The 19,055-nt window shown below is 42.7% G+C and overlaps 1 long non-coding RNA gene across 2 annotated transcripts in view; it reads left to right on the top strand.

Moving 5' to 3' along the window:
* LOC102723739 (uncharacterized) overlaps nt 1-16,603 on the top strand; it is a 55,283-nt gene extending 38,680 nt beyond the window's left edge. Inside the window, exons 2-4 of one of the 2 annotated variants that reach the window (XR_427020.4) lie at nt 827-912; nt 13,833-13,961; nt 16,516-16,603. This is a non-coding gene — a long non-coding RNA (uncharacterized LOC102723739). Of the gene's footprint in view, nt 1-826; nt 13,962-16,515 lie in introns of both variants that reach the window. The other variant, XR_007086289.1, reaches the window with a different exon arrangement.
* The last annotated feature ends 2,452 nt before the right edge of the window (nt 16,604-19,055 follow it).

The raw sequence follows: 19,055 nt of genomic DNA, 5'->3' as shown, positions 1-19,055 counted from the left end.
TAGTTACTAAACTTTTTTGTTCTTCTATTCCCAACTGGGATCCCCTTAGTGACCCTTATTGAGAAAAGTCTTCTAAGTTCAAGAATAGAGGACATGTGGGAGAAGGTGAATTATGGAGCTGGAGCTGGAAAGAATTCAGTGGCGTGACTGTGCTGTGTGTACTGTTGTCAGCTATAATTCAACAAGAGCTCTTACAGAGAACTTTCTTAATTTATGTTTAAAGTTTTTTTCCCTCTGGTGCTGTGTCCATAAATGGCCAGATTATAGGGGACCGTTTTCTTTGGTATTGTTTATAGTTATCTTGTGCCAATACACAAAGTTGAAGCACTTCTTTCAGAAAATAAAATTATATTCTGATAAACTACAGTTTGGAAGTAAATTTGGTGGTAAGTGAGCATTTTCTGGTGCTGAGGGGACTATGTAGGGCAGCAGTGAGGTGATCAGCCCTCTGACCTTAGAACAAAGAACTTGGAGGAAGAGCGCACACACCTCACAAGAGGTTGTCACTTTCTCCGTAACTATTTCCACATTGGGTTACAAACCACAATTCGTGTCTGTTTCTAAGAGACCGTGAGATATTTTTCAGTTCAATTTCAAATTGCTTCTGACAATTGAGAGGGCTTCACAGCTTTACTAACTGATCAGTGGTTTGGGCTTTCAGTTATTTGATGCACAGAGAGTTTCATGAAGGAGTGTTTTAAATGAAACTTTCACATTCATTCCTTTTCCAATTGGACGGATGCACAGCAAAATTCAGTGGTGTAGCATCTCACAATGGACAGATTCAGTTTGACAGTGGGTAAAATTTTGTTCCCTGTGTTTTAAGGTTCAAAGTGATAAAACAAACCTGGTACGGAAATAACTGATTGTGGAACGCGAAGGACCTGTGATCATGCAAAGGTGACAGAGCAGGTAAAATGTTTTGGACAAGAGGGAGAGAGTTTGCAGGTAAAGAACCTATAAGGGGCAGAAAGAGGAATGCAGGACACTTCGGGATGTGGGTCACATTTTGTCCTGGAATCAGTACTTACCAGCTTAGTCTGAGGCCTTGGGACAGAAGTGCTGCTCATAAAAGTAAATTGTGTTTCTGCAATGAAATCTCTGAAACTTCAGGAGAAGAGCACTTGGTCAGCTTGCTTGGGGTTACTAGTTCAGTGGTGACATACAAGTGTGTGTGTGTGTGTGTGTGTGTGTGCACGTGCATGCGCATATTTGTGTGTTTAGACGGTGTGTGCTCACTGCTTCAGAGAGCAGTTTCAGGGCCATCTGTTTTGAGCTCAGTGTGACTCCAGATAACCAAGAGTAGGAAACAACTCTGGGGTGATGATGGCAGCAACAGTGACCTCAAAGTAAAGTGGTGAGTATTTTTTTACTATCTTCCCTGATTGTGTGGGACCCTCAAATATTTCCCCAATTATTTCTGGGAATCCTAAAGAGCTACCTCTTAAGTCCTCTAAGCAAATTATCTCAGCAGCCTGAGAAAAGGGACTTGCCATTTTCCCTCTTCTCTGCCTCTGAATCCATTTGGTAATTATGGCCAAGAAGTCACATGTAGACTGCATTGCAGTGGGGTGTGGCTGAGAGGACTTGCTTTAGGGTGGAGCGAAGTAACATGCTATTAATCTGTTCATGTAACCAAGCAATCTGTCTTTTATTCTACATATTGTCACATAGTCCATAGAGCATTCAAGGCCTGGAAAGAAAAGAACACTAACAACAAAACCAAAACAAGTAGACAAACAAAACAACTTCAAAATACAGCTCCTGTTCTGTAGGAGCACATAGTCCATTGGAGGTCCACTTACACACACACACACACACACACACACACACAAGGGTGGTGTAAACAGTGGTGCTGGAGTCTCCTGAGATTGTGCCCGGCAGCACGGCATCAGGAAAGACCCCATGGGAGCAGAAATTTTGAGATTGGAGCCCTATTTTGAAGGAAGAGTAACATTTGGACAGGTTCAGGTGAAAGGAGGGAGAACTTCCTAGGTAGAGAAGTGGCATGTGGCAGGAACTTGCATGGCGAGAAGCTGAAGCCAGCTGTTTGGTTGGTAGGAAGATCAGTTTTCCAGGAGCAGGCAGTCAGTGTAGACAATCCACACTGGCGAGGTAGCCTGGAGTTAGGCTGTGGAGGACTTTAAGGACAGTCTCATTGGATCTGGGGCCCACCCTAATGCAGGATTATCTTATTCCAATCCTTACCTTAATCATGTCTGCAAAGATGGCATTTCCAAATCAGGTCACATTCTGAGGCTTTGGTGGAGGTGAATTTTTGGGAGATGTTATTTAATTCACTACAGATGAGTTAAGATTGGGGCTGATTATAAACTGCTATAATTGGGGTAACAAGGAAAGGCTTTTTGGAGGGAATCATATTTGAGTTGAGACTTGACCAAGGACAAGGAAGAAGCCATGTGAATGTAAATAAGCAGAAGGAACACCAACAGTCAAGACCTTAAGATGACAATAAGTTTAGTGTTTAGAAAGAATGACAGCTTTTTTTGTCCTCTGTGATGTGAATTTTCTCCCTTGAAATGGTGCTAAAGCATTTAAGCCTAAAGAGACAAAATAGGAGACAATCTTGGAATTGAATCCACTCAATCTGCCTGCTGCTCTTGCTAAGGTCAAGGCTGTGCTGTGGATGAACATGACCTCGACTGAAAGTATTTGAATGCTATTGGTGCCCCATGAAATGAACTAAATTATTTCACGATTCTCTTCCTCTGCTAAACTTTGTTCTCAGAAATTAGAAGCCCAGAAAAGTAGCTCACACTCAGTATTCAAACTCTCATTGCAATGGAAGCAGCATTGCAGAATTTATTTAGTGCAGAGAGTTGGGAAATTTGGGTTTTAAATCCCAACTTTAACAGTGGCCAACCATGCCTTTTAGGTAAGTCTCTTTACCTCTCTAGGCCTCAGTTTTCCTCATCTGTAAGGCAATGTTGGACCAGGTCATGTGAGGGCTGAGGCAGAGTGGGACCCTTCCAACTCTGGCTTCCTAGCTTCACAGAATGCCCCAGGAATTGTCTGGCCTTCGCAGGATCTTCCCAGAGTTCATGGACACATTTGGCTCTTGGGTAGCCAAGGCTCTGAGTGTAGAATAGTAAAACCAATATGCATGAGGGTACTTGTGAATACACTCCCACCTAAACTTGACCTCTAATGTGAGGCCCAGTTTCTGAGTGTGGATTTACAAAGGCTTTCCTCTGTACACTTCTCCTTGCACCTGGAGAATCTGCTTGTGGACTTTCAGATCTACCAACTACCTTCCACAGAGCTCTCTGAGACAGGGAAGGAAAACCAGGCTTTACAGCTAGACCAGGACTTTGTTAATAAGACGATTGTTCACAGCTATATGTTTACCACAACCTCTTTTAGCTTTGCCTGTAATTACCTTGGCCCTATGCACTGAAGAATCTGTCTGCACTGCAGCGGGACTCTTAAGTTCCCATTGATTCTGAGTAAGTCCCAAATATATTTTTATTCTGTCCTCTGGTATTCTGCTGAGCAGAGGGCAGAGTGTCTCTTTCCTGCTCTGTGCAGGAGGTGATGAGCTCCTTGAGTGGTTCTGCTACTAGCTCACTGGTGACCTGGTGACCATCTCATTCTAGTCGGCCCAGGACAATCCCAGCTTGAAAATGGAAAATTCTGGATCCTGGAAAACCCCTCAGTCTTGAGCAAACTGGGAGATTGGCACTCTACAGCAGTGCATCAGGGTTGCTCGGAGTCCAGTAACAAATTTGGAGACTAAGACGGTGGCTCACGCCTATACTCCCAGCACTTTGGAAGGCCAAGGTGGGCAGATCACCTAAGGTCGGGAGTTCAAGACCAGCCTGTCCAACATGGAGAAACCCCATCTCTACTAAAAACACAAAATTAGCTGGGTGTGGTGGCACATGCCTGTAATCCCAGCTACTCGGGAGGTTGCGGTGAGTGGAGATCGCGCCATTGCACTCTAGCCTGGGCAACAAGAGCGAAACTCTGTCTCAAAAAAAAGAAAAAAAATAAACTGGAGACAAAGCATTAATCCTAACAGAAGGCAATGCAGATCCACAGGCAGTGCCACGGAGCCAGCTGTGAGCCCTGCTACTGCTCCCTTCTCCCAAGGCATCCCCCTGCAAGGCTGCACAACGCTATGCTGAGCACGGGGAGTCTCTGGACGCCTCTGCCTAGCTGCTTGACTGGAAATCTACCCACATTTAGATTTTCTAGTAATACTCACTCTATTTTTCTTAAGAGACCCTGGCTGACTAAAACAATATATAGCAACATAATACATTCTGTAAGGAAAATCAGTAGGAATTCCTCACTCTGAAAAACATCTTTACTGGCTCTGTCACAAAATAGGCCCTAAGTGGCGGTAGTGAAAGGACCAGCATTTCTCTTCACTGCTGATGCACAGGTGAGAAGCTTGAATTGTGATTTCTGATGCTATTCTTTTCTCAAAGCAATCAAATTTTCTTGGAAGTTAGTTAATTGCAGTCTTAGGGAAAAAAAAAGCGAGGATGGCTTGGAACATCTTTTTGTTGTGGACTGAAAAAAAGGAGTGTTCGAGAATATCAGAGGCAGTACTTAAAGGAGTTTTTGCTAGCCCCACTGTGAAAATGTGAACATCAAATAAAAGGCAATCACGGCTTCATTAATGCAAGTTGTTTTTGTGAAAGGCTATGAGTTTGGTATAATACTCTAATGAGATAAGTGTATAAAAACATAGCTATCATACAAAAAGAGGTGAATATAACAGACAAGCAAATTAGTATACGTAGATATTCTGGCTTTTAAAAAATATTAAGTATATGTCTGTTTTAAAATATTGATTTGTATTTGTTTCGTTCTGCACAAGCAGGAGAGAATAAACTGAGGGACCTGAGAGTCAGCCATGACGCCCCTGGAGAAGTCTGTTTCAGGAGCAGGAGGGATTCCTCGGCATTGTGCCATTTAATAATTAGAAAGGAATGGGGCTCAAGAGATCAGGAGTAGCAGGAGAGCTCCACAGTTGTACCCCGCCCTGATGAATTATTCAGTATTCTAAGGAGGGAGGTCATCTTTCATTTCTTAAGAGATGAAATCTCAACATGGCTCCACTAATGAGAAGCAACTACTACTAAAGAAAGTGTTCTTTTTTTTTTTTTTTTTTTTTTTTTCCCGAGACAGAGTCTTACTCTGTCACCCAGGCTGGAGTGCAGTGGCGCCATCTTGACTCACTGAAACCTCCACCTCCCGGGTTCAAGTGATTCTCCTGCCTCAGCCTCCCGAGTAGCTGGGATTACAGGCACCTGCCATCATGCCCAGTTAATTTTTGTATTTTTGGTAGAGATGGGGTTTCACCACGTTGGTCAGGCTGGTCTCAATCTCCTGACCTCAGGTAATCTGCCCGCCTTGGCCTCCCAAAGTGTAGGGATTACAGGCGTGAGCCACCATGCCTGGCCACATTCATTTTTAAGAAGGCTAACAGATCAGGCCAATATATCAAAATTAAAGAATAATGCATGAATGCATCAGGACATGCAAATTTAATGAACACTTTATTTCTGGGAAAGAAAAGTCATGCAAAAATGAAATAGCTATGAAAGTCAGGGACATCAGAATGCCACGTGGTGAAAAGAGGACTATATTAGGTATCTATTGCAGTGCAACAGATTATCCCCAAAACTTAGTGGAAAAGGGAGAAAGAGAAGGACAAGAAAAAGAAAATCAAATAGCTGCTCTGGTGGCCTAGGAATGTTGCCTAATATCAAAACAAGGAACAAGGGAGGCCAAACCCTCAGGATATTTCAGGGCAAGAGATGATTGTGGCGGCCAGGCATGGTGCTTTTTAAAGCTCCCAGGTGATTGTGTCAGGCGTCAGGGTTGGGAAGCTTTATTCCAGAGTGTGACTTGCCAATCTACATTTACTTTAGTCACAGTCAACATGGTTAGTAGAGGTGTTGGGGGTGTATAATGAACACTCACCGAGCATCAGTGATGAATCAGGTTCTGTGCTAGGGCTCTTTTGTATATTTCCTCATTGATTCCTCACCATAGCCCCGGGCGAGCACACAGCACAACTGTATTATCACCATTTATAGAGGCAGGAACAGAGGCTAGAAAAGTTTAGTAAACTGAGACTTTCTCCTCCTCATGAAGGAAAATGGTGAGCAGTGGGCTGCAGAAAACAGTGTTTGGACTTAGAAAGCAGTGCCCCAAAGGAAGCACAAGTTTTGCCCTGACCTTATCCTGCCCTCCTGTCTCAGTCCCAGTCTCCACCTAGGCTAGCCATGGAAACTAGAATCTTCGAGGTGAGTCATAGAAACCAGGACCCCCTTTCTCCAAAGCCAGCCATAAAACCTAAAAATATTACTCTGACATTCCCCTGCCTTTCTGCGTAAAAACTGGCCACAAAGAAATTATCTGGCCTACTTTGTTTGACTGTAGGTCATAAGACCCCCATTCCAGTGAGGGTCCTGCCCATAACCAGAAGGAAGGAATGCTGAACAGAGGCCAAGAGGAACCTAGGCAGACAGGCCTTGCTGGATCCCCACTCAGTCTATTAGCGTTAGATTATAGCCTTTTTGTCGAATCATATTTCTACATGGCTGTCCATACTTAATTGAACCTAAGCTATCATACTTTGTTGAACATGGACAATTTCTTTGCATCTTTGGGTCTTCATTCTGAAGGCTCTCGTGTACACATTAACAATAAATTGCATGCCTTTTCTCCTATTAATCTACCTCTTGTCTGTGATTTTCAGTAAACCTTCAGAGGACAAAGGGGAAATTTTCACTTGGACCTCACAAGGACGAGGTTCAACCAGGGGGAGCAATGATGGGTGCTGGAAGGGGAAGTGATGGGGGTGGGAGGGTAGAGGAGGGAAGATCTCTAGGCTTAAATCCAAGGCTGGGATGTAAATGTGGAGCTCTTTCTCCTTCTTTGCCCTTGGAACGTGGTGCTGTGGCTCTGATAAGCTCCTACTGGGTGTTGAGTAACTTTGTGTGACAAGAGTAGAGAAACTGAGAAGAAGAGGCCCAGGAAGAAGGGTCAGGAAATGCAGATTTCAGGTCACTGAAGAGGCCAGGCCAGTGAGGACAGGGATGATCCTATGGAACACGTCAATGCTGCTCCAGGAGCAAAAAGATCATCTCAGGATGGGGAGAAACTGGGTGCCTGGAGGCTTCAGGTTGCTGTTGTCAGCAGTTATTGGAAAATGTTTTAAAGCAAATATGCACATGCCCACTCACCCATGCACACACATCTGCTTCTAGAAACAAACTGAATTTCTTTGCTACAACAAAGTGGTCTCATTACTTTATTTACGTGGAAAATGACATAGAGAATTCCCTCCCCATAAGAGCTGCAAGTTCACCTTGAAATGCAAAGTGATTGATTGTGCTACACCCACTTAGTTTCTCCTTTTCTGAACGTTTGACATCATTCAGTCTTTGCTGATAGGGAATCCTGCAGCTGTGTATCTCCTCATGTGGCCTCAAAAGCATACCTGTTGGGGCCATTACTTTACTCTGGTAATTTGTAAGGCATCTTGTGCTACCCTGGTAAATGACTTGGGAAAGCCATTGGTGCCCAAAGAATGACTGAAATCAGGAGCCAAGACAAACTTGGAAATATGGGCATGGTGCTGGGTAACAAATGAAAATAAAGGAAACAAACCGACCACAAAATCAACCTCAAATGCCCTGCATTGTGCCTTAGAGGCAATGAAATAGTAGTGCTGGCTTCCTAAAACAGGAACCCTTCACCAAGCAAGAACTGCGCATTTCAGAGGCTGCAAGGTGCTCTTCTAAATCACAAAAGAAGCAAGTGGAAGTGAGGTCATTGTTAGAGGTCTGAGTTTGGGGTTAGAACAAGCCCGTGTCTATGATACTAGGCTTAGGCCTTAAGGATGTTTCAAGACCTAGAGAGCTGTGCTTGGCTAGACCTTGTTGCCTCTCATCACCGAAGCTATTCCCAAGTACCACAGGCCCCTCTGGGAAATTAATGATGGTTGGAGAGGAAGCCAGCTCCACAGTCAAGCTGGGGGCATTTGAAGAGCCCAAGGTGAGGAAATAAGGGAGCGTATGAATTAAAGAAGCAGAGTTTTTGCTTGGGTTCTGATCTCTGAGGCAGTATGTGGCTCAGATAAAAACTCTGTGGAGCTATTTCCTATGCTGGATGGAGTTCTCTCTCACAATAGGAAAGCTTTAAGTACTGAATGTAAAGTTCTCTATCAGCTATCTGGTGAATCTCTCCTATGCACAGTGTTGTAATATATCCAGGTGAGAGGTGGAGCCCAAGGAGTGTCATACAGGCTGGTTATTCGTTTCCAGAAAAAACAGGTAAGAATATTTTTGTTTAAGATGAAAATCAATGAAAGGCCTTTCTTAAGGGTTATGGACTGAATATTTGTATCTCCCCCTCCCCAAGCTTATATGTTGAAGCCCTAATCCCCAGTGTGAGGGTATTTGGAGATGAAATTTATTGGGAGGTAATTAGGGTTAGATTAGGGCATGAAATTAGGGTCCTCATGATGGGATGAATGGCTTTATAAGAAGAGGAAGAGAGAGAGGAAAAGGCCATATGGGACTTAATGAGAAGGCAGCTGTCTGAAGCCAGGAGGAGAGACTTCACCAGAACCTGACCATGCTGGCACCCTCATCTTGTGTCCAGCCTCCAGAACTATGAAAAAATCAGCTTCTGTTGTTTAAGTCCCCAGTCTGTGGTATTTTGTCATGGCATGCAAGCTGACTAGACATTAAGTATCCACCTTTGCTCATGCTGGCCTGGGCTGTACTGAGAACATCTATCTTTTCATTGACTTTATCTGTCCCCAAATGGAATATTCCTTCCCTATGATTGTGGCTTCTCCAGTGGGGATCAGATGGCCAGTCTAGTAGCAGGTAGGGTGGCATCACAGGAAACTGACATTTTGTAGGTCAAAAGTTATAAAAAAAAAAAAAAGCCATTGAAAATTGCTGCCATTTGGCCTATAAAGTGGCTTTTCCATGCAGTTGTAACATACCTGGTATTGTGTATCTAGGTGTTGTGGGTGCCAAAAATGTAAGAAGCACTTTTGTCTGCAGAAGATTTATATTATACCAGGATTCAGCAAACTATGACCCATGGGCCAAGTCTGACCCATCACTGGTATTCGTAGTCTTCCTGGAACACAGCCACACCCACTTGTTTACTTATTGTCTATGGCTGTCTTCATGCTACACCACCAGAGCTGAGTAGCTGAGCAAAGACTGCACCACCCACAAAACTTAAACTATTTACCATGTGACTGGTTAGAGAAAAAGTTTTCTGAGCCCTGCATTACACAGTGTAAGTGTAATGCAAGTGTAATGCAAGTAAGACTCAATGATCACGCATAAACACTGCCATTTTTCTTATTGCAATTTCACACATCTCCTACCTTACCTTTCTTACCTTTCATCACTATTTTTTTCACTCCTCTACTTGTTTGAATTTCCAAAGTCTCTCCTTTCCCCACTCTTCATGATTCCTGCTTGTTTCTGGCCCCCATTCCTTTCTACTCTCTTCTGTTTGCTTTTCCTTCTTCTCTTGATTGGCTTCTGCTCTCCCATCCTTGCCCATCTCTTCCCACCTCTTCATTCTCTTCTTCTTCCACTTTGTTCCTTCCTCTTTTCCTCTGTGCCTCCTCCATGGAACTGGTTGGATTCTTTGACTTAGGATGGATGGATTGACTCACCTTCTCACCATTCACGGCGGCCTTTCTGGCCCACACACAATCTTGTGTAGATTTTCCTCTTTAGATCTTATGTTTCTCTGAGGCAGGACTGATATTTAACTGGTAAGGAAGGTAGCCTTGTAAGAATCGATGTTTATTTAGACTGTCTGCTCTGATTGGTCAGTGTTGAATTTTTTGCAAATCATTCTTGCCATCAGATCATCTGTCTCAACCAGCCAGACAGCTCAAAATTTAGAAATGTTGCCCAGATATCTTTCTCTTAGAGACTCTATGAATTCCTGTTTGTGGGCTCAGCCTCTGGGGTTTTAATGAGGCTCTTGTTGTTTTTATATCATTGTGAGGCAGTGTCTAGAATTCAGAAATTAAGTCCATTCAAAATTAGGATGGGTGTGTGTGCTGGGTGGTGCCTTTCTTCCCACAAAGCAATGTGTTTTGAATCTAAGATATTCTGTGGTCAAATGCTTCTCAGAAGCATGTACCAGTGGCTGCTAAAGACTTTCTTATGCAATACTGCTGAAAAATACACCAAAAAACTGGGTAGTGTGGAGTCATTTCTAAGCAATTATCAGTGATACACCAAGCCTTGTCACACCACTCATCATTGATGCCAGACTGACAAAAGACCTTAAATTTCAGGGTTATTAACCATCACCCCAACCCATGATTGAATTGAGAGGAAATAGCCCCAGCACACAGCAGCCACAGACTTTGCTTGGCTTTGAAGAATGTTGCCTAGAATATATTTTAGTGACAAAGACTTGGCTGCATTTACCAATTTTTTCTTTTCTTTTTTTCTTTTTTTTAAGAGACAAGGTCTTCCCATGTTGCCCAGGCTGGACTCAAACTCTTAGGCTCCAGGGATCCTCCCACCTTGGCCTCCCAAGTAGCTGGCTGGGACTACAGGCACATGTCACCATGACTGACTTTGTCTAAAATTTGAATTTATTCACCCTAATTACTTTTCTTTCTCTTTAAAATGTTCTTGTTAAAGCTGTGCTCCCTTTTTTCCATGGTGAGTATGGCAATTCTGATTTCTGTATATTTTTAAAACTTGTGGACAAACCACTTCATCATTGTATCTAACAATAAAAGTCATAGGCCGGGTGCGGTGTCTCACGCCTGTAATCCCAGCACTTTGGGAGGCCGAGGCAGGCGGATCACGAGATCAGGAGATCGAGACCATCCTGGCTAACATGGTGAAACCCCATCTCTACTAAAAATACAAAAAATTGGCCGGGTGTGGTGGCGGGCACCAGTAGTCCCAGCTACTCAGGAGGCTGAGGCAGGAGAATGGCGTGAACCCAGGAGGCGGAGCTTGCAGTGAGCCAAGATCGTGCCACTACACTCCAGCCTGGGTGACAGAGCGAGACTCCACCTCAAAATAAAATAAAATAAAAATAAAAGTCATAAACTTGCTATGGAAAAAACAGAAGGAGATTTAGCCAAACAATGTGTAATAGACATTTGTTGGTTGATGCTGTAGCTTCTGTTATTTTCTTCCTAGCAGCCCTCATTGGAGTTTGGGAATCCATTTGGCTCTATGGAATCTGATTCTACCTGGGGCTCCAGGGGTGGAACATGTGACCCAGACCAGCACATTTGGCTCCCCAGCCATGTGGTTGGCCATGGGTGGACATATGACCAAGCAAATCCAATTAGAGTGAATCCCAGGACTTTTGCTTGGAATTCTAGAACAAAAACCTTCTTTCTTTCCTGCTGGATGTAAATGAGAAAGCACACAGCTCAGGGACCTCTTGGTGAACATCTTGGAACTATGAACAATATTGGGCAGAGATTAGACAAAAGGAAACTAGGTGCTCAGTGAAAATGTTGAGCTGTTGGACCATGCCTCAACTGAAACCTCTGGACTTTACACTTGTAAGAGCCAATAAATTCCTTTACTTATTCAAGTCAAATTGGGTTGGGTTCTCCATCACTCGCAATCAAAAGATTTCTAGCTTAGGCACAGGACCATTGAATAATGATCATAGGCATAGAAACAAGAGACCAAAGACTGGGTACTAGTGTCTGCTCCATGCCAACTAACTAAGACCTTCAACGGGTCTTTATCCTCTCCTCTGTGGGCCTCAGTCTCTAATATACAGAAAGGAAGTATAAAATTGGGCTTGGTGCCTTCTGAGATGTTTTAGATTTAAGAATCTCTGAGTTCAACCCTCATCTTGATCCATTGCAAACCAGCTCTCCGTTTGCCATTTCTGTCAATGGCCCATCACACTCCCAGCCTCTGGATAGAAACTTCGAAGTTGTCACTGTATCCAACTCCAACTCCATCTCTCCTCACCAACTCCAACTCCAACTCCTCTCTCCTCATTATCTCCTATATCTGCTCCGTTACCAAGGCTTGTCAGTTCTTCTTTCTAAATATCCCTTTTAATCTTTCCCTCCTTCCCATTCTTGTGAACATTATTCATGTCCAGGCCTTCATCCACTTGCTACATCTCCCTACAGTTCCTAATCCCTTGAATCCATCTTCCTCATTCCTGCCAAATTAATATCTTCAAACAGACTTTTAAAAATTACAGGAGCCCCACGATGGAAAAATAAAGTCTATACTGCTCAGGAGGCCTTCTGTGTGCTCCATTCATTGCAGCCATCCTGGCTTTTTAACATGGGTTACTTTTATAGCCTTGATTGAAACACAGAAAGAGGACTGTTTTTGTTTGTTTGTTTGTTTTTGAGGGTATTTGGAAAGGACTTTTTCAGGAAGTACTGGAGGCTTATATAGTAAATCTGTTGTTGCTGGGCCCAAGTTGTAAGGGAATACATGTTGGTGAATGAAGCATGGCAGCCTCAGAGCTAACAACCTAGGGCCCCATGAGCACTGCATCTTCTACAAACTCCCTCAGATGAGTGTGCCCTGGAAAGTGTGTGGCACTTTTAGGTGTTAAATACACTTAATAAAGCAAGATATATCTTATATGTGGTTGACTGTGAAACGATGGGCATTTTAAACATTTGTGACTTTAACATAACCAAAACAGATATTGGTTAATGTCTAACTGCTATTCTTTTTAAAGCGTATATTAATGTATCAAGTATATATTTTACTAGGACACTCTGTAGTAGGTAGCCATGAAAAAAGTGACTGTTGACTTATTATCTTCTTGGAGTTATTGCTGGATTAAGAGGAGACATTCTCTGTTTTTTTTCTTTTCTTATTTTTAATAACAGAAACTCTGGCCCATGAAGGCCTGTGTGCTCTGAGAGAATGTGCTGAGCCGGCCTTGTTTTTCTCCTGTTTCCCGTGACAGGGCGCTCCTCCCCACAGGACTTGCCAAGTCCTCATGCACGTTGAGTCAACATTTTGGATATGAGCTCATTACATGGGAAAAAGAGTTTAAACACCAGCTCAACATGCAAGTGTACTATGGGCTCTTTCCTGTCAATGTTTCAGTTCAAATTTCCTGAAGCTTGGAAAATTGCATGTATTCGTACAATATCTCAGCATTCTCCCTCTGGCCTGAAGTGAGGCAGTTGGCTTCCTGCTGTAGACTAAACAAATGAATAAAAGATTCATGCCATGTATATAGTGTATCTACAGCTTTAGGCATTGTCTATTTTACTGACTGCCTTGTGGGTGTACTTATGTGTACAATGGCCCATTGTGCTAATCCAGTGGTCAGAATAAGAATTAACATTCTTGAAAACCACTTCAGCTGGTCAATTTTGATTTCAGCTAGCAATCAAGTCAATTTGAACATCTAAAAGAACTAGATATAGTTATTTTCTTTATATTCATGGGGGAAGGAGGGGATCTAGAAGTGAATTAAGCTTCTTTGAGGAATTAGGGTCAGGAAAAAACAGGTAAGAGATGAGAAGAAGATAAGAATGACCCTAAAACTTAAAGTATAATTAAAAAAAAAAAAAAAGAATGACTTGGGAAGAGAGATTGGGAGATAAATGGTGAATGGGGGTAAAGATGGAACTTAATCTTCACTTCATTGTCATGTCACAGACCAGACATTAGTACCCACTGAGTACTCCCTTATTCTTCTCTCTGGGGGAATATTTAGCCCAGAATGTCGTGAGTACCCCAGGCAGATGTTCATTATCTAATTGGTGCTTGAATAACTGAATTTGACTTTTTGTGTGTGTTGCCCTAACCTGAATCCCTTAGACACTGATAGTAGAACTGTGGAGAAGTATCCCTGGAGATGACCCACAATCTCAAGAAGGCTGAAGAGGAGAGGAAGAGAATGGATAAATCGAAACAAGTGTTTAGATGATCAAGGCCTTATAAGCCATAGTAAGTTTAACAGTAAATAATACATAGAGGGAAATTTCTTCCTCTGAGTCATATGTGTTTATCAGTTTTCTATAGATGTTGATTGCTTTTGCCATATATAAAATTTTATGCTTTTATGAGACTTTTCTTAAAAATATCTCTTGGTCGGCTGGGCACGGTGGCTCATGCCTGTAATCCCAGCACTTTGGGAGGCCAAAGCAGGTGGATCATGAAGTCAGGAGATCGAGATCATCCTGCCTAACACGGTGAAACACCCCATCTCTACTAAAAATACAAAAAAATTAGCCAGGCGTGGTGGTGGGCGCCTGTAGTCCCAGCTACTCAGGAGACTGAGGCAGGAGAATGGCGTGAACCCAGGAGGTAGAGCTTATAGTGAGCTGAGATCGCGCCACTGCACTCCAGCCTGGCAACAGAGCGAGACTATCTCAAAAAAAAAAAAAAAAAAAAAAAAAAACCTCTTGGTCAAAGTTGAACAAGTAATGAGTTGAATTTGGGGGGTAAAGAGTGGTTACCCTTCAGAAGGCAGATGTGAACTCAGTAAAATGTAGATTCACAGGTGAAGAGTTTCTGAACATGTGGGACTCCTGGATTATAGTATATGTCTTTCTTTTTCTCTTTACTTCCTCTTTCAACTTTCCAGTTTTCAATTGAGAAAAAAGCTTATCTTTTTGTGTGTGTGTGACTCTGAAGCAATGTTTACCACCAAGGGTAGAGGCAAGAGGTACACTGTCTTCTAAATAACTTGGGATTTTCCCAGATAACCCAAGGTGTGGGGCTCTTTGGGACCCTACCTGGCTGACGCCTTTTTGGATGCCTGCTGATGGGTTGAGTTTCTTCCTAGGTGATGGGGCATGCCTGGCATGGAAGGGACTTTAAATTCCCTGATGGTTATGCCCAGTGTGGTAGGAGAGAATTAGAATCCATGTCCTGATAGAAGAGACTTTCTACACTGAACTTCCCACCCCCTCAGATCTTGTCTTTCTTCCAAATCACATTTGTAATATCCCTACACACCTCAGAGGCATTTATCTTTTTATCCAGCCCTACGTCATCTTGCTAGATAGACATTTGCTCTTTTTTTCCCTCCTCTCCAAAAAGGAAAGGAGAAACAAACAGCCACTATTAGATGAACAGACCTCTTTCTGTCTTGTTTTATGGTTTTGTAAATCATAGTAAAACCTCACTTATTCAGATTTACAGGTTGAAGGGCAGTTCAGGTTCATGAATAATCTCAAACATTGAAAATTATAAAAATAATGTATTGTTAAAACTGGTATGTATATATAATGGCATGAACTAGTGGCTGAGAAAGTGGCCTCACTACTCCCAGGTCAAGGTTCTTGCAGGCTTGCTCTAATGAATTGAGAAACGCCATTTGTATTTAGTGTGTTTCTTGTTGGTTTGCAAATATTTACTGCTAAGATGTTTGAAAACAGCTTATCCTCTTGAGTAGTATCCAATTCATGATTTTTATCCAATTCATGATTAACACATTATTCAGGACTGGATGAATCAGACCTTAGCCTGGATTTCCTATGGGAAGTTGCTAAAACTCCACGGAGGAATACTCAGGAGAAGGAGCAAAGCTGAGTCAAGCCACTCAACAAATGTTTGTTGAGTCTTTCCCTTTGTGCCCAAAGAGGACTGGATGTGGTAAACTGGGGTAACATAAGTATAGCAGCTAAAAGCAAAACCAACCAAACAAAAAATACCCACACATTTTACAAATCACACTTTGGCCACAAGCACCTCTTCACCCCACACATCTCTTAGCCAAATGGCCAAGAAAAAGTAAAGTAAAATGATTTGAGTTTTACTTCCTCTCTCTTATTCTGTCCAAATGCTGGGGATCAGAGGATAGACAAGAGGAGGGAGTGAGAAGAGAAACAAAATTTGAATAACCACAGAAACAATTGGCTTTTGGGTGAATTCTAAAGCAGACCACAGGAAAAGGAAACCATTAAAATATTTTTGTTTTATCCCTCTTTCTCTCTCTCTGTGTGTGAACCTTAATTTGAATCTCACTTTTTTCAAATACCATCTAGTTTCTCTTGGCATGCATCTCCCTGCTCATAATTCCCTCCACATCTTGAATGAACTTCATGTTCACCTCTTTGAACATTATTTTCATTTGAAGTTCAATGCTTTTCTCTCGACTTGGCTAAAATTGCTACTGCTCATGAATTTATGTCCTATACTCCAGCTTCCAATTTTTTGCCAGGCTGTGAGAAGTCAGTTATAACTTACAGATTCTGAACTACAGTCTTCCCTACCGTCTTACTTCTCTTTCTCATAGTTCAAGTTTTGGTCTATTCCTCTTACCCACTCTCTCTCTGGGCACACTGATACGGTTTGGCTGTGTCCCCACCCAAATCTCATCTTGAATTGTAGCTCCCTTAATTTCCACGTGTTGTGGGAGGGACCTGGTGGGAGATAGGTGAATCATGGGGACAGTTTTCCCATACTGTTCTCATGGTAGTGAATAAGTCTCATGAGATCTGATGGTTTTATAAGGCAAAACCCCTTTCACTTGGCTCTTATTCTGTCTTCTCAGCCGCCATGTAAGACGTGCCATTCACCTTCCACCATGATTGTGAGGCTTCCCCTGCCATGTGGAACTGTGAGTCCATTAAACCTCTTTTTCTTTATAAATTACCCAGTTTCAGGTATGTCTTTATCGGCAGCATGAAAATGGACTAGTTATACACGAAGGCTTTTTATTGACTGTCCCTCTCTGAAAAGTACTCTGACCCAAAGGTGCCCCTATGCTCATCCAAAACCAGTGAAGTGAGAGAAATGAAGGTAAAGCGTCATTCAATATGGTACCATTTTTAGATGAGGACATGAGATCCTGACTTATCCATAGAAAGTCAGTGTCATGCCAAACCAAACAGAGACTGTGGCTGCTGTAAATAGCTTTCCGCGTAAAGGAACTGTGGACAGAGAAAAATAAAGAAGGTAAACTCTTTATACCACCCTTCTCTCCTATCTCCTTGCTACTGCTCTTCCCTGCTGGTCAGGGTCTCTGGGGGTTTTGATGGGCACAACTGTCATTTCTGCTGTTGAGAATACAACACAAGAAGCAGCCCCCTTTGTTAATTTTGGTATCAGGATCAAGAATATTTTCCCGATGAATTCCTGTTTTCCTAGGAATTGCTTGAGAGCTGGGAGGCTGTGGTGGTGTCAACCAGTGATTCAATGAGATGCTAGGGCCCCAATCTCTAACAGCTTCTCTTAAAATCACTCACAGCAGGCTGTGTGTGGTTCTCGGGCCTGTAATCCCAGTGCTTTGGGAGGTCAAGTTGGGAGGACCGTTTGAGGCCAGGAGTTCAAGACCAACCTGGGGAACACAGTGAGACCCCCATCCCTACAAAAAATTTAAAAATCAGCAACATGTGGTTGTGCACCTGGAGCCCCAGCTACTTGGGAGGCTGAGGTGGGAGGGTCACTTGAGCCCAGGAATTCGAGGCTGCAGTGAGCTATGATCACCATTGCACTCCAGCCTGGGTGACAGATTGAGACCCTGTCTCTAAAAATAAAATAAAACATCACTCACAGCAAGCATGTAGCAAAGCATGTGGTTAACATTACCATATAAACATACACATGTAATAATTGGGAAAGCATGTGATTAAAATTATCATATAAGCCTACATTTTAAAAAGAATTGGCAAGGTATGTGTTTAAACTGCATCGCGCCATCATTTGTAGAAGGAAGATGCTAAGAAAGTGCTGTACTTTGGCACTGGGAAAATGCATTGTTTGAAAGGGGGAGATATTCTAGATTTGATTTTACTAAGTTTGTTTAAGAAACTGTCTACATGGATTTGTATTGGTGGTTTTGGCTGAGGGGCCGCTGGCAGATCATATCCACCACCTAAACACAGCTTCAGTGGAGTGGCTGGTTACCTCCTTGTGCTCCTCTCTCATTGCCTTCTCAAGCCCCTCTTAGTTAACCATTCCCAGGCTCCCACTGATTGCCGGTGAGGTGCACAGGTGGATGCATCAGAACTGTGGGACTCAGAACTCAGAGCAGAGAAGGATTCTGGGATCTGTGGAGTCTGAAAACTCAGGAGTCGGCCTTCATCTTTGCTCCTGCTGCTGCTACTAGCTGACATTTATTTGATATTTTCCATCTGCTGGGAACTTTATATACTTTTCATCTGTAGTCCTTCCAACAGCCTTGAAAGGGAGATTTTCTTCTATTTTGTTGAGCTAAACTGGAGGGTCAGACAAGTTAAAACATACTTAATGTGGCATAGCTAGTTAGCAGCAGAGATCCCACAGAGATGTCTGACCACATACCTGACCCCTTTCTCCGCACCCACGTCTCCTCAATGATGGTGGACTGACCTGGAGAACATAGAAACCACTGCAATCATGAGATGACTATGACCAATTTTACCCTTATTTGATGTACAATTCCATCTGATTATTCAGAGATAAACTCTCATTTCCCTTTGCAGGCACACAGGGGCATCCCTGCAGCCCAAAACAACACTGCAAACTCCTATCCAATTTCCTGTCTCTATATCTTTTAGAGTAATTATGGCTAGGTTTTCCCATTGGTATTTATGCTTTGTTGATTTTTCTACAGATGCGTTGGGGGCACATGTCCAAATTAAATATCGTTTTATTATTTCCTGCCTCTTACTTTAATTTCTCTTTGTCCTTTACTCTCCATGGGGTTTGTATTATATTCCAGTTGTATCTTACACGGTTAGGCTGTAGGCTATTAGCTACACTTCCATATCACTAGACAAGCTCAAGGCATTCAATTCTACCTGTTATTTAATTTTGGACTCTTAGAAATTAGACCTTGATCATAAGTAATGCTTGGAGTCAACCGCTGAAGACCACCTCTTACTTTCAACTTGAACACTCAATTCACCACTCTCCCCAGCCCTCCAGGCAGCAGGCTGGGTGTAATTGTCTATAGCTCATAAATAAGAAAGTCAAGGCCAGCAAGGTTGTGAGGCTTGCCCAGGCTCACGCAGTGATTATAACCATGAGCAGCACTAAAAGCTTTTGACTTTATAAAAGATCAAAACCATTCATGCCCCAAATACATTTTATATAAAAATGATTGACAAC

Source organism: Homo sapiens, chromosome 2 (assembly GCF_000001405.40).
Source record: "Homo sapiens chromosome 2, GRCh38.p14 Primary Assembly".
Lineage (NCBI taxonomy): Eukaryota > Metazoa > Chordata > Mammalia > Primates > Hominidae > Homo > Homo sapiens.
Note: the sequence above shows the minus strand (reverse complement) of the source record. Positions and strands in the feature narration are given on the sequence as shown.